The sequence below is a fragment of the Homo sapiens genome, chromosome 7 (assembly GCF_000001405.40).
Source record: "Homo sapiens chromosome 7, GRCh38.p14 Primary Assembly".
Classification (NCBI taxonomy): Eukaryota; Metazoa; Chordata; class Mammalia; order Primates; family Hominidae; genus Homo; species Homo sapiens.
In genome coordinates, this window is record NC_000007.14 from 81,720,869 (window position 1) to 81,738,003 (window position 17,135).

At 34.5% G+C, this 17,135-nt stretch overlaps 1 protein-coding gene across 2 annotated transcripts in view; it reads right to left on the bottom strand.

Moving 5' to 3' along the window:
- Positions 1–17,135, bottom strand: part of HGF (hepatocyte growth factor) — a 71,038-nt gene that overhangs the window by 21,859 nt on the left and 32,044 nt on the right. For both annotated transcript variants that reach the window (NM_001010932.3, NM_000601.6), the window contains exons 8-9: positions 8,737–8,911; positions 5,022–5,149 (exon numbers count right to left, since the gene is read on the bottom strand). In NM_001010932.3, coding sequence (NP_001010932.1) covers positions 5,022–5,149; positions 8,737–8,911 — 303 coding nt within the window. The remainder of the gene's footprint in view (positions 1–5,021; positions 5,150–8,736; positions 8,912–17,135) is intronic.

A 17,135-nucleotide genomic window follows, 5' to 3' on the forward strand; every position in this document is an offset into this window, starting at 1 on the left:
ATAAGTCCAATGAATATCAAGGCAGATAAAACAAAAAGGTTTTTTACAAGTATATGGAATCATGAAATCAACATAAAAATTAAAGTACTTGAAAGGGCTGGGTGCGGTGGCTCACGCCTGTAATCCCAGCACTTTGGGAGGCCAAGGCGGGCCCATCACGAGGTCAGGAGATCGAGACCATCCTGGCTAACACGGTGAAACCCTGTCTCTACTTTAAAAATACAAAAAATTAGCCAGGCGTGGTGGTGGGCGCCTGTAGTCCCAGCTACTCGAGAGGCTGAAGCAGGAGAATGGCGTGAACCCGGGAGGCGGAGCTTGCCGTGAGCCGAGATGGCGCCACTGCACTCCAGCCTGGGCGACAGAGCGAGACTCCGTCTCAAAACAAAAAGAAAAAAAAAATTAAAGTACTTGAAATCTGTACAAATCAAAAATACTCAAATATCTCAGATTAAAAAATCTTTATTTTAAGCCCAGTATCTTCATCAAAATAAGGGCTTATGCAAATTCAAATATAACAAATAATAATTTAAAAACAAAATAATTTAAATGAGTGGCCCTTTGGAACAACAAAGAAATAAGAATTTTTAGACTAACACATGTATTTCCCAACATTTTCTTCTGAAAAATTTCATTCCATAGAAAAGTAATATAACGAACATTCATCTCCTAGTCACATTCCTTATGTTTTGATTTTTGTCTTTTATGACATTGACATTCTGAGTCACCCAAGTCAGCTGTTTTACAAATGCTCTTTAAGTTCATTTTGTTTGATTTATTTTCTCATGAATAAAACCAAGTTAAAGATATTTGACAGGAATATTGCATCAGTGATGCTTTGTCCTTTTTAGAGCATAACATCTTGTGACACATGATGTCACTTTGTTCCATCACTGGTGATGTGTTTGATCACTTGGTTAAGTGGTGCAAAGGAAAAACTCCTCTGTATTTAACAAAAAAATCGGTTGGGGCCTTTGAGTCTGAATAAATATCCTAATGCCAAACAAATTTTCACAAAATAGCTTAGGCATACGTTAATGAATTTTGCATGAACCACTTATTGTCATGCTGATGATAAAATGGTTATTTTGCTATTTCTAACATTTCTTTGTATTTGTTCGTTAGCATTCTTCTGTAAATAAAAATTTTTCCTTTTCCCTTACCCCATTCATTTAGGTATTAGTAGTAGAAGTGCTAGCACTAGCTGTAGAAATAGTAAATTAAATGTTGACCAGTGGATTTTCTTTTTATTTAATATGATATATAATCTATTCCTGTTATTCATTTTGATGCTCAAATTGTTCCAAATTTGGCCAATGGAAGCCACTTTAAACTGACTCCTGGGTCTCTTACTATGCTCCATGAGGTTTTCTATTTCTCTTTTTTTAATTGAGCAATTTGTGTTCTCCTGCCTTAGCCTCCTGTGTAGCTGGGATTACAGGCATGCATCACCACACCTGGCTAATTTTTTATATTTTTAGTAGAGATGGGGTTTCACCATGTTGGCCAGACTCGTCTCAAACTCCTGACCTCAAGTGATCCGCCCGCCTCGGACTTCCAAAGTGCTGGGATTACAGGCATGAGCCACTGCGCCCGGCCATATTGTTCATATTTTTAATCAAAAGAAATGTAGTCAGAAATCAAGTTCTTCAAAAAATATAAGTTGGTCAGGCGCGGTGGCTCACACCTGTAATCTCAGCACTTTGGGAGGATGAGGCAGGTGGATCACTTGAGGTCAGGAGTTCAAGACCAGCCTGGTCAACATGGTGAAACCCCATTTCTACCAAAAATATAAAAAATTAGCTGGGTGTGGTGGCGTGTGCCTGTAATCCCAGCTACTCAGGAGGCTGAGGCAGGAGAATTGCTTGAACCCCAGAGGCAGAGGTTGCAATGAGCCAAGATCATGCCACTGCAATCCAGCCTGGGCGACAGAGCGAGATTCTGTCTCAAAAAAAAAAAAAAAAAAGAAATTTAAAAAGGTATATATATATATATATGTTGCATTGCAAATTTAAAAAGAATTATTCTACTTTTAAAAATATTCTATACTTTTAAATAATACCGAACGTTTTTAAAGTGACTTTTTATATTTAACATTCTTAATTTTTATATGAATGAAAACTGTACATTTGACTATGAAAGGTCATCTGCAAATTTACATCAACGTTAAGATTTTATGCTGGGAAAAATAACTAATGGGTACTAGCCTTAGTACCCGGGCGATGAAATTGTCTGTACAACAAACCCCCATAACACAAGTTTACCTATGTAACAAACCTACACATACATTCCAAAAAAGTAAAGAATGGAAAATACTCAAGAGCCATAAACAAGAAACTAATGAAATTGTCTACTTGCAATGGTGAGTAGAAAGTAGAAATGGAATGGCATGGAAGCAAGAGAAGAGGACACTTCTCTGAATTTACCCTTTCATATAGTATTTACTATTATCCAATGTTAAGGTTTTAAATATTCAAAAACTAATATCCAGAAAGATGAAAATAAAGACAGAAATATGCCTATGGATATATCAAATGTATACCATTAATACAGAGCAAGAAAATCCAGATGATTTTTGGTTACAATTTTCTGACTGTATATACTCTCATTAGAATATATTTTAAGACTGAAATAACTGTAAATACATTTTATGATATTGATATAAATATTTAAATTATATTGTTTACTGCCTTAAGTATACAATATATAGTATATATAATATGTAGTGTTTTATCAACATTTTAAAGAAATTCTGTAATTTCAGTTTTCATTTTTCTTTAATAGTGTTTTTAATATCCAGTTGGAAGAATATTTATATATATATTAATTCAGATGTTGCAAGATTTGAAAAATGTTTCCACTCATCTAACTATATGTAGAACTTATATTTTCTGTTTTATGGAGAAGGATAAGAGTAACATCTTTCATATATATATATAGATAGATATACACACATATAGATATATATACACATATATATATATCTGTGTGTGTAGATTTATATCTATAGAAAAATACCTAGATCTAAGTAGATAGATCTATCTGTAGATATATCTGTATTTGAGAATTTAGGCAAGTTACTTAAATTCCATAAAACTAATATTTTCACCTATGAATGAATGATCTGATAAGCAATAACATGTTTACCCTCCAGAATCCAAAATTTTCATATTCTATTACCTGATCCTTTTTAAGTGACGTATATGTATATAAAATATCTTAATACACACCAAAGGTTTATCAAATAATTGTTTTCCTTTATCACTCACAAATTATTAACAAATGTTCAAGTAAATGAGACAGGAACACAGAAGACTCAGCTGGTACCAAACTTCCCTTAATCATTGGCTTCAACTTTATTTCTAACTGATCCTTAAAGGAACAGTGAAATTGACTGAAAAGGGACTCATCCCCTCTTCCCTCTACAACTCTATTTTCAGAGTTGCTCGTGAAGAATGACACTGTGGAAAAAGTTAAAGGATAGAAGTATGCCTAGGGCAGTAGGTCTATGAGATGGAGCTTTAAATTTGGCTTGGGATTTCAAGGATGATTTAGGGCTAACCACGATCATGACCATCACAATTAAGTCTATGTGAAATAGAACATGATCATTTAAAAAGGATAACTCTCAATTTACTATACATCAGTAATTCCCAGGATTCAACTTTATTATTAATATTTAACAAATTATTTCTTTGAAAAATCTACCTTTTAAAAAAATTATTTTACGTTCATGGGTACATAGGTAGGTTTGTTATATGTAAATTGTGTGTCACCGGGGTTGGGTGCATAGATTATTTTGCATGCATATGCATGCATGTTTCTTTATGGTAGAATGATGTATATTCCTTTGGGTATACACCCAGTAATGGGATTGCTGTGTTGAATGGTAGTTGTGTTTTAAGTTTTTTGAGAAATCTCCATGTGGCTGAATCAATTTACATTCCCAACAGGGGGATATAAGCATTTCCTTTTCTCAGCAACCTCACCATCATCTATTATTTTTTGACTTAAAAATCTATTTCAATCTGATTTTACTACCGCTCCCTGAGGCAGTTATCTTCAATGGCATCTATGTTTCCAAATGCAATGGTGATTTCCCTCAAACCCCACCATTATCCAGCAGCTACACTGCTAACAACCAGGGTCAAGTCACTCCCATCTGTAGTCTGAATTACTGAAACAACCACTTCATTGGTTCTCCTGTTTTAACCCTTGTCAAGAATTCTAGCTATTTTCCGAAATGCAGCCAGAGTGATCCAGTTAAAACTTAGTCAGATTGTGTAATTTCTCCCTTCAGAGAAGAGTCCTAAGAGTCCTTTCTCTTTCAGAGCAAAAGGGCAAACAATTCCTGAAAGGCTGATGCAATTTTAGCCCAATTGCCTCTCTAATCTCATCTCCTACTACTCTTCATCTTACTTATTTTGTACTAGCTATAGTGATGTGCTTATTTATTTAACTTTCCCAGAACTCCCTCATCTCACACCATTTGCATTTGCAGTTTTCTTTATCTAGAATACTCTTACACATATATGTGCATGGCACATGCTGCTCCCTCACTGCCCTTGGGTCCTTCTTATATGTTAAGCAAGTAAGATCTTATAGCAAGTAAGATCTTCCCTGAACATTAAAATATAAAAGAGCAGCACCCCTCTTTTCTAACTCTGCGACATTTTTCTCTCTACTGCTTATGACAAACTACTGTAATATTCCCATTCTCATTTTTATTTTGCTTATTTTCTATCAGTTGAATATTAGCTCCAGGGGGTCAGATAGCTTAGTTTTGTTTACTGGTATATCTCCAAGGCTTAGAACTGTGGCTGTCAGTAGCATACACTCAGCTAAATAAATAAATCTTGAGTGAATAAACATAAGAAAAATCCAGCTTCAAACTTGGTGATTTTGTTTGCAAGCCAGCAAAACCAGTGCAGCAAGAAGTAGATCTTATGCTGTAAAATGTGTCCTCCCTTTAGGCATTTCCCCTGAATTTAATCATGCCCACCCTGCAGAATGTCAGCTATTACCTTGTCCATGTGACATATCACAGTTTGGAATTTGGGAGCAGTAGCCAACTCGGATGTTTGGATCAGTGGTAAAACACCAGGGTGATTCAGACCCATCTGGATTTCGGCAGTAATTTTCTCGTAGGTCCCTATTGAGAATAAGCATGTTAATGTAAATTGCCGGAGTTCTTACGTTGGTGAAGTCAGCGCTATTACATTTCTAGAATTCTAGAATGTATGCATGTTTATAAATAGAGTTCTAACTTTTTGGACTCAGAATAGCTATAACAATTTAATATTCAGTATACATAACTGACTCTGCCCAAATTACTGAAATAAATGCTGTCATATGTTAATATTTTTTTCCTTCCACAGGCCTAGAGTTTCACCCAAACATTACTGCTTCATAAAAGAGAGAAACGGTACCGCTGCATTCTTCTCACTCAGTCTTAAGATTGAGACTCTCAATTGGTACCATTTCAAAACATTGGCCTGTTATTTATTACATGTTCATGGCCCACATATTGTGTAGAAACAACACATATCTCTCTTTGTGGAAGAAAGGTTATTATCAATAGTAATTAATTACTCTCATTTAAAATGGAAGTTCAATCTATTCAAATATGTGCCACAAAAATATGATAGCTATTTTTCCTTGAGTTCTGCATTTCTTTGATTTATTTAATTTGATGCATTGATTTATTTTAATTACAAAGCAATTATTTATTGATTTAGAGAGGTTACCTAAAATCTTTATATATATTTCTGTAAAATTAAGGCCCAGTTATACTATAGAAAAACGAACTATAGAACACATTTTCAATGTAGTACACGTATATTCTTCATTTTACCAGTATTTTAATTAGAAATTTAGAGTTCCTAATAAGAAAAAAATCTATGCTAATATTCTCTGTATGTAGAAGACTTTTAATGGTTTTCTATCAATATAAATAAGGTTCACATTAAATAAAATATGGATTTCATAATAAATAAAATTTATTAAATATGCTAATTTTAAATAAGTAGGTGCTTTCATTTCATAGATTCCTTTTTAATAACTATATTAATATTCAATCTTTTGGAAACCACAGTATTTGTATCACTTAGGTCCAATTAGAAGTACTATTATACAATTATCTTAATATCCAAATGGACCATTCGAAACTGAGGTTTTTTTTTTGTTTTTTTTTTAAACAGAGTCTCGTTCTGTCGCCCAAGCTGGAGTGCAGTGGCGTGATATCGGCTCACTGCAAGCTCCGCCTCCCAGGTTCACGCCATTCTCCTGCCTCAGCCTCCCGAGTAGCTGGGATTACAGGTGCCTGCCACCACGCCCGGCTAATTGTTTTTTTTTTTTTTAGTAGAGACAGGGTTTCACCGTGTTAGCCAGGATGGTCTCAATCTCCTGACCTGGTGATCTGCCCACCTTGGCCTCCCAAAGTGTGGGAATTACAGGCATGAGCCACCGCACCCGGCCGAAACTGAGAAATTTTTAAGGAAGAAGCTTGTGTTGGGTTAGAAAGTCAATAAGTATTAGTCTTATCTCATCAAAGTAAGTCCTGACACAAACTATTATTTAAGGATATGAGAACATCGGCCACCAATAATTAAAGCCACTGTATAGTTAAGTGTTCATAACCCATATTCAAACCTTTAGCCTTCTTATAAAATTATTAACTGGAATAGATGAGACAAGCAATTTATACTTACATTTTTAAAAAAAATCTATGTCAGTATAAAATATGTGTGTTAAATTTTACATGAACTTTGCATACACTTTGGTTTTATTTTCTATTATTTGGTAGAGATGGAGTCACCCTTTGTTGCCCAGGCTGGTCTTGAACTCCTGACCTCAAGCCATCCTCCCGTCTCATCCTCCCAAAGTTCTGGATTGTTCATTTAGACAAGCTAATTAAGTGAAGATCGAGGGCTATCAAAGTCTTAGTTTGGACTGACTTTAACATCTGTATTAGAAGCACCTCAATCAATAATCTAGATTAAGCAAGAATGAAAGTCAAGATTTGCCCAGATATTTTTACTAGGTCCTTACTTTTCACTTGAAGAAAGGATGGTTTACAATTACTAAAGTAAATTGATGATTTTATGATTCATGTCGATTCATCACAGGCAGTGTTGTTCAGTTACAGTGTTCCAAAGATTGCCATTTTTAAGGTCTCAGTACTGGGGCAAGTGGGCAAGTAATATTTCATGTTTAATGTTTAATAGAGACACGTGACCAGTACGCCCCCTCACTACTGGATCACAAATAGTAAATGGTAAATCAATGTCCTGAGAAAAATGTTGAATCAGATTTTATCAGTTTTATAACACCGCACAAGCTTTGTTTCTTAATACTTATGTTTGGTTATTTAAAACAAATAACAAAATTAAGAAAAGATGGCTTAAATTCTACCAAGATATAACAGGTAACTTCTGATACTTAAGCTTCACTTGTGAAGTCTGTGAATTAAATGTTTATATCCATTCTGTTTTTCTTACAGATGAATTTCACTAGGTATCTTTACGTACACAATTTCTTATTGGGTATTACTAGTCATTAGAAGTTAACAAAAATGTGAATGGCAGTGACACTATCTCCTTTGTCCCTTATAACTAATATTTTCTCTGTTTCTTTGTTTTTTCTACTTTGATATGTATTTCTCAGGTGTGAAACCCATGGGTCACGAATAGAGAGTGAATTGCTGTGATGGAAATGAGGGAAATAAACCCAGCATGACAACTGTCAATTTTGTTATTGTAAACTAATGGGAAAAAATCTTAGATTAATATTTACTATTTAAACAAATAAATTACAGAACTAGCTAAAGCTTGTGCATGCACACACACACATACAACACAAATCTCCCCTCTCCTATGGCGGATGGGCCAACTAGTGCTCATAGCTCTTCATTCAGAAATGTTAGGCTGTCTTATTAAAAGCCAATTACATAAAGCCAATATATGTTATTTATAGGTGCTATTTCAGAAAAGCCACTATGAATGATGTGTGTTATTAATTTCAAAAGCAATCACTTTATGTTCCTCATAACAAGGTGGACAATTTAAAAACACATGGCATTGTGTCTGTGCCTGTCTGCAAAAGTCAAATGGTGTGAAAAGTACCCATAGAGAATGCACAAAACAACTATGTAATTGATACTCAAGGGCAGTTTCTTTGGCTTGAGTCATCTACACAATTGATTTGCTTCCCCACTTTTCAAAGCAAATCCAGAAACAACTGAACACATTCATTTAAGCTTTGAAAAATTATTTTATTCACAGATCTTTAAGGCTAATAACTCTTCAGTGGTAGGCCTTTTCTTTCCATTCTTTCGAAAGGAAAAATGTGTAATCCTCCCAAAGCTAATACGAAAATTTAAGAAGGCAGTATTTTGAAACATGCCTGGCTGCCATGACTATTAACTGATTTACTAAACAGACCCAGAAGAGCAAAACTGTGATCAGAAATCCACCTAGGGATGTGTTTCCCAAAGCATAGTGAATCTACCCTCTGGATCTGAACCACCTAGGGTCCTTAATGAAATGCATATTTGAGGACCAAATCCCAGATTAAGAGAATCAAAATCTCTGAGTGGAGGTGTAATCTGCCTTTTAACTCCTGATTATCACTGGGCACGCTGAAGTTTGATCACTAACACAAAATTAGTAAAAAGTAACCACTCTACCTCATTTTCCCCAGGGCCTACTGAAATGTATAACATTTGCCTACTTTACTCACTTGCACTTGAAATTTTCAGGAGTCATGTCATGCTCGTGAGGATACTGAGAATCCCAACGCTGACATGGAATTCCATTCCAAATGGTATTGACAGTGCCCCTGTAGCCTTCTCCTTGACCTTGGATGCATTCAGTTGTTTCCAAAGGAACATCAGTGTCATTCATAGTATTGTCAGCTATTGGCAAAAAACAACAACAAAAAAAAACTTATATAAAATCTTTGAAGATGTCATTTGCCTCTTAGAGTTCATTGGCATTTGTATTAGCAGATTTTTTTTTCTGTTACTTATAAGCTTTTATAATAATTGAGTGGAATAAGAAATTTAACTTAACATTATTACTAACTTCATTCCAATTTTCCTTTCATTCAAATCCTAAATTAGTTTTTTCTTGAAAAGTTACTTAAATGCATTTTACCTCCACATGTATAACTTATATATGCTGAATATATAGTGTTTCTGAAATGACTATACAATTATTTCTAAAATCAGCTTGCTTATAAGTACATACAAAGTGGTAATGAAATTAACCATAATTTTCCTCCAATATAATACATATATTCTGGCCAGGTATGGTGGCTTATGCCTGTAATCCCAGCACTTTGGGAAGCTGAGGTGGGTGGATCACCTGAGGTCAGGAGTTTAAGACCAGCCTGGCCAACATGGTGAAACCCCATCTCTACTAAAAATACAAAAAAAATTAGCCAGGAGTGGTGGTGGCAGGTGCCTGTAATCCCAGCTACTTGGGAGGCTGAGCCAGGAAAACGGCTTGAACTCAGGAAGTGGAGGTTGCAGTGAGCCAAGATCGTGCCATTGCACTCCAGCCTGGGCAAGAAGAGTGAAAGTCTGTCTCAAAAAATAAATTAAATAAATAAATAAATTCTAAGCTAACATGTTAAATATATTTTTAGTCATCTTGTTGACAATAAAGAAAAAATCAGTTATTCCTAGGAAGATCTATCTCCTGCTTTTTTTCCTAGTCCAACTTCAATGCTTACTATACGTCATGAAGATTTGAAACCCTCAGTCACTAAGTAATAAAAGTATAAAATTAAATTTTTACCACAATTTGGTCTCTCTCTCTCTCTGTAATGTTTAGTCAATCAAAATGTAACTCAAAACATTCCAGAGCAACTAAAATTCATATATCTTCTTAAAACATACATGAAAATGTTTATGGTTTGATAAAAGTGTAAACTTCCCAGCTACCTTTACAATCTAAATGGCCATTCAAGATGCCTCTGGATGAAACTCAAGTTGGCAGCCTCTAGGACAGTTTAAGATTTGAGTAAATTTCATTGATTTATCCATTTTGGAATTGGATGTACCACTGTACGAAGGACAGGCCAGAATTAGACATGCTTTCAGTGACTAGGGATGCCTATGAAAGTTTTCTATAGTTAATAGTGTAAATATTTTTAATAGCTTTTAAATTTCATCTAAACACCTCTCTCATACAAACCATTTCTACCTTATGTAGTTAGTTGAATGCTTTATTTCATTGCATTCTATGAGCTAACCTAGGCAAACTAAACAATAGCTTATGTTTAGAGTTATTCTACGAAGCTTTGTGAAGAAAGGGAAAACATTACCTTAATGACTACCCTAATTACTGAAATAAGTTGTACTGTGCAAATTTTCAGTAAATTCCTTTTAAATAACTTTATTGCAGCCCATTTAAAAAGTGTTTCAATGTTTTGTATATCTGCTTCAGAGAATAGAAATATGACTCAGAAATATCCAAACTTAAAAAGAAACTCAAATGAAGATGAAAAATGTTCAGTAATTGACCCATAAAGTGGTAACTGAGAGCTGATAGCCTAGAGAATTCATCTATATTGATATTGATGATATATATTGATTTTAGGAAGAACAAAAATTATTGGACTTGGGGAAATGGCTTGTATAGAAAAAGTTGATGCTGATTATGCAAGTCTTTTATAATTTCAATACTATCCAAAGGTCTTTGGTGAAATACAAAATAAGATGGATTTCATAGGTCCTAAGGAACTATATTTCATCAATATAAATGCCATTAAGTTACTCTATTTCTGACTATTTGAATTAACTGTTAAATGATATGAGGAAACTGAATGTATGGGGAAAGTCTTAAAAGGTGATAACTCTAAAACAGGTACAAGGTCAAGTTTGTACTGCTATATTTCATATCTAGTTATAAAACTGATGGGAAAGGAGACAAAAATAAATGTCCTTGGGCATCTATCAGTTCATTAGCTTAACATGCTAAAAGAAAATTTGGGGGCACAAGCTCTTGGGCAGCAAACTTGTGACCTCAGTCAGGACTAAGTCCTGACAATGGAAGGGAGTTCAGAGTTAGAACAGCCAGTGTAAACACACTTCCACTAATCTCATAGACTTCATTGTCTGCCTCAGGTACCTCAACTCTTTTACTTTCCTACTTAATTGTATGTGATTTATTTTGATTATTTACTACTGAGCCATTCTTCTCAAGCACTACTCTTATGCTGTGCACATAACTCACAGATCCAGTCTTGATGAGTCCAGGTGTCAATCAGTGCCATCTTTGGCTAGATATGGGTCCATCCATTGCATCTCACTGAGAAACTAGTTCAAGGCTCAGTCCATGAAAAATTAACCCACCACTCCTCGGACACAAGTATGATTTGCCAGATACCAATCAAGACAATAAATAAAATGAATATAATATTCAGATATGATTAAGGATTCGAACATTGTTGAAATTTCTAAATATGGAAGCAGCTTCAAAAGGCTGTTTGTTTCCTCTACTATGTGAAGGTAACTTCCTACTGTAAGGATATGCCTGGGTAGGGGTGAGAGAGTAAAATTTTCTGTCTACATTGTCAACGTAAGATTAAATACCAACTATCATTTCTAGAGCATGTTATTAGTCAAGGGTGATTCGAATTTCTAAGTAATTTTTCCAAAAATAACATTTTAAAGTTACACTCTTACAGAAATGACCCATGATAGTTACAATCTGAAGCAATACTTAGACCCTTAAACTCAGACACAAGTGGAAATATACCTTATAAAAATGGAGACAGTAAGGTAGACATAGGTTATCACAATTCATTAAAAAATCAATATTTGGCAGGTGCAATGAGCAACTATAAGCAATCACGTGATAATCAGGAAATATTAAGAGGAATGATAAAAGGTAAATACTGATAAAGGCTAAACATATTCCTAATTTGAGAGCAAATTTTGAAATTTTAAGAACCTCTGTGAAATGAAAGATCTATATTACCAAAACCCCAAGTCAAAGAAACGCCTACTTGCTTTAAAATATACAGGAAAATAGTTCACTGCTGATTTATCCACTAAAACTTCAATGTCAATTCAGACATGCATTGTTAGTGCTAATTCTCTACTTCAGCTGGAGGTTTCCAACAAGATTTAATTGAAGAATCTTTCACTTTTAAAAATAGCAATGATATAAATCTCATCACTTGAGCTATTATGCTGAATAGGTTTTTTTCTAAACTTTCATTAGCATATTTTAAAGCATTTACTATAAACTTGAAAAGTCATTGAACATTCATTTTTTAAAAAGTATGTAAAATCATTAAATAAAAACCCAAATGCTGGCTTTGGATTCAATAATTTAAACTATTTAATATATTTTAATTTGGAGACGGAAAATAAAACCTTTTCAAATTTTTTAAATTATAGAATACAAAGAATTACTGTAATTAATACAAATATAATATTTTACCAAATAAATATAACTTTTTCATTAGGCTTTATTAAGATGTAAAGAATCTAAATAATAACATTATTATTTTTCATCTTTTTAAAAATAAATATCCATAACTTTAAAATGTGTATAACTCTAACAACTTAATAGTTTTATTTTTCTTGTGTTTTAATTCATTGGAAATATTTGTCATTATTTTAAACACAAACTAGAGTATTTAGCTAGTATTTTTCTTTAACTCCAAAGTACCCTCTGAAATCAGTGCATTGTATTTATTCCCTTTGACATTCAACTGCTAGAAGTCACCCCATAAATAAAAACTACATAATTCTGGTGGCAATGTATAGAATAAATAATACAGGCGAATAAAGATATATTAGTACGACAAGGTAACTAAATAGTTTTCATCAATAAATAAGAGTTATTATGAGTCTCCATGAAGCTGTTTAATAAATATCTGATGAGGACCATGATGAATGATTTGTCCATAGACCATTTAACTGTGATATAAATGTTTGATCTTTGCTGCTCACATACTTACTATTCAAACAAAATTAATTATTCCTCGATGGCAGTAAAACAAACTCCTCCTGCAGCCCTGCTGTATAAATATCAAAACTGGGTGTAAAAATAAAACAAATGTTTCATGACAATTGATTTGAAGAGGGCTATTAAATGTTGGGAAAGGCATTCCTTTGTACTTAATACTTAACATGGGACCTGAGTAAGGGAGGGTTTTGAAAAGTCTCCATTGGCCAAACTAAAATGTCAGAAAACACAGAAACATTCCCAAATATCAGCTGAAGTTGATTGTTTAGACAAAGCAACAAGTATTTTAAAATACAGCATCCCCCCATACACAAATATTTTTGCAATCATGTCTACCCAGTTAACATTGAAAATATCTGGAACTCTTCTGAGAGTTCCAACAAAGAAAACATTTTGCCAGGGGTATCAGCAGTGGCTACCCATTGGAAGCAGAAGCAAAGGTATTTATGTAATCATCAGTGGTCTATGAGTAAAGGAATGCTTTCTTTTGATGATTGACACAAAATTTTCTGTTTGGAAATGCTTTAAGTAAAACAACATTTGCTATCGAAATTTTTCACTGTCCTGTTTGAATATGAACAAATACAATGCATGCCTCTTGGAACATTAATTTCACTTTGCTGGTGTGGTTGTGCTGTGATCTGATTGCTACAAAATTTGGAAGTGAATTTTAAGATTTGAACAGATTTTTTTTGAGACAAAGAGTATTCACTGTTGTCTAATTCTTGGTACAACCATCTTGCCTCCCAACAGAGACCAAGAGAACAAGATCACTAATTAGAAAAAAAAATCTGATTACTTCTTTCTATAAAGTGCTAGCCAAAGCCTTGCAGAGAGGCCACAGGGCCCTGATAGAGGTCTGAATGGTAACTGGAGAGGAGGAGTGCATAGTATGTTACAAACAGGGACACCCAGGGCTCTGTGAGCTTCATATGAATGATAAGTAAATGCTTACATCTACGGTTTTCACCAAACCCACCCTGCCCTCAACATCCCCACCAAAAGAAAACCCAGATTTCCCAATGGAGACAAGCTATTGCTTCTCTTTTCCCTATAGCTAAGAATAAGTCAATTCATAGGCTGGTAGACAAATACCCGATAACCTCCTGGAGCAGTTCAACCTAACCCACTGCTTCTTCCCAGCTACTAAAGAGCAACTGAAATAGAATTTACTTTATGAAGGTCCCTCGGGATTGAGAACAGTGTGTAATAAAGCCACTCTCCCATCAACAATACTTGTGCTCTGTGGGCCATGAAGACCAGGATCCAGCTCATTATAAATTTAAAGAGCTTCTTGTTTTAAAATTGACATGGGAAAGTAGTAAAGACCTCCAAAATATGAACCTCAAATTGCTTGCATGTTTGCTTTCCATGTGAAGCCAGGATTCATACCTCAAACTTTTCCCTGGAATTTATCTAAGCTTTTTCTGGTACAAAATGCTCAGGAGACAAGACTTTCATGAAAGGTCTTCAATTCTATAGCCTTATTCTTTAGAAGATGATTTGGAAGAGACATCCAAGTAAAAGATTTTTCCCTTGAAAAAGGGTATTGACGGCATTGTTTTTTTCTGACACAGGACACAAGATTTTATTTCTGTGAATCTCTATTCTGGCCTTGGATAAATTAGGAAAACTCAAAGAAACAATCAGCTTTGTCTAAGAAAGAAAATAATTTGTAAAAATTATTTTGTAATTGTATACAATTTGTAAAAAATATTTTCTCATCATATAAACACACTGAATTTTAAAAGACGACTATGTTCTTTTAAAGTTATGTCCATGTTCATTGGTTACTAAGGGAAAGGATTTTTTTGTATATTTGTTTCCAATGGAAACATACCTATATTAGTCTGCTCTTGCTGCCATAACAAGGCTGCAGATTTGCTGATTTAAACAAAAATAATTTATCTTCTCACATTGCTGGAGGCTAGGAAGTTCAAGACCAAGGTGCTAGACAATTGGGTCCTTGGTGAGGGCTCTCTTCCTCACTTGCAAATGGTCACTTTCTTGCTATGTCCTTACATGGTAGAAAAACAGAATTCTCTCTTTCTTCCTCTTGTTATAAGGCCTCCGATCCTACCAGATTAAGGCCCACTCTCATGACCTCATTTAACATTAATTACCACTTAACAATCCCTATATCTAAATATAGTCACAATGGGAGTTGGGGCTTCAACATATGGATTTGGTGGGAGACACAATTCACTCCAGAGCAATACCTCGAATAGACACCTTAGTTATCAAAGATCTACCCACGTCTCACTTCTAAAGTGTTTCTGGGCACTTAAGTATAGTAGTTCCTCCTTAATTGCAGTTTTGCTTTCTGCCATTTCAGTTACCTGTGGTCAACCGTCATCCAAAAATATTAAATAAAAAATTCCAGAAGTAAACAATTCATACGTTTCAAACGTACACTCCGTTCTATTTTGCCTCAAATGTGACTCATTCCTTTGTCTAGCATTGTATATGCAACCCGCCCATTTAGTCACTTAGTAGCCTTCTAGGTGATCAGGTCAACGGTCATAGTTTTGTAGTGCTGATACCCAAGTATCCTTTATTTTACTGAACAATGGCCCCAAGGCACAAAAATAGTGATGCTGGCATATTGTTATCATTATTCTATTTTATTGTTGTTGTTAATCTCTTATTGTGCCTAATTTATAAATTAAACTTTATCATAAGAATATATGGAGATGATACAGTAAGGGAGCTCAAATGAAGGAGCTGATGTGAGGAAATCATAACTTAGTTGAAATGTGAATGAGTAGCTGCCAACTAGGTAAGGAAGAAAGTAAAATTTTTTGAAAGCAGAAGGCATGGCTGGGGTAAAGAGACTATAATGAGAACATGGAAAATATGAGGCAAAGGAAGAAAATCATTGTGGCTGGAACAGACAGCATGAGAGCCTGGAGAGAAATGTGGAGGTATATGAAGTCACATATAAGGTTAGAAATATAGATAGGCGGTAACAGATGGTTATGTTTTGTCATTGCCCTAAGATCAAAGGAAATCACTGAAGGGTTTTTAATTTATGTGTAGAGGGGTGTGTGTGTGTGTGTGTGTGTGTGTGTGTGTGTGGTGTTCTATAGATGAGGAATGATATACTTTTGAAAACATTCTCTTTTGCAGGGAAAAATAGTGGATATAGATATTTCATTCTGAAGGCCATTCATGTTAAAAAATGATACTCTCTTGGACAAAGGAGACAATGATGGAGTGAAATGCTCTTATGTGAAAGGTATGTAGAAGATAAAATTGACAGGACTTAGTGATAAATCAAATGTGAAGAGTGAAGGAGAAGGCTATATCTAGGATTATACCAGGCTTTTGGATTTTAAACTGGGCAAATAATAGAGCCTAAATCATGCAAAAGAGAGCTTAAAAGGTGAAACAGACCCTCCCATCTCCCCTTTACAGGATTCATGAAGAAAATCAGGGTAAAAGATAATCAATAAGAGAAGAGGCGAGTTTCTGGTGCCGAGGGGCTGAGGGAAATTGGAGTAGCTCATAGGTAAATACTAATTAGTGTACTCTTAAGGGGACCATATCAGTCTTGCATGTTCTGATATATAGCAAGAAGTTGTTCTTAGAGCGTCCTGGGACACCTGAGGTTCCTGAGATCCTTTCAGGGGTCCAGGAGATCAAAACTATTTTCACAGTAATGTTAAGACATCATTTGTTCTTTACACCATGAAACTTTCAGATGGCACATGATATGTGATATCCTGAAAGACTGATGGCAAAAGCAAATACAAGACACCCAGCTGTCTTCATTTAAGGTGCCATTAAAGAAAATTTTTTTAAATGCCAAATTTGTAAAAAGTTGACAATGCCACTGGTTTTACTATTTTCCATTAAAATATATTTATTAATAGCCAATGGCCTTATTGCTATTATAAATGAATTAATAAATGTTTTGAATTTTCTGTTTTAATTTCTAATATAGAAAAACATGGATTCATATAATCCACACAGATAATTTGGGCTTCCCAATAATGTCAAAGAGTATAAAGGTATCTTCAGTCCAAGAAGTTTGTGAACTGATCTAAATACTCAGTGTGATTTCTAAGGGGTATCAATCACAAGAGAGCTTTTAAATTGCCAGGCACCTGTTGGAGTTTACTTCATAAAAATACTAATACTGCATGTTCT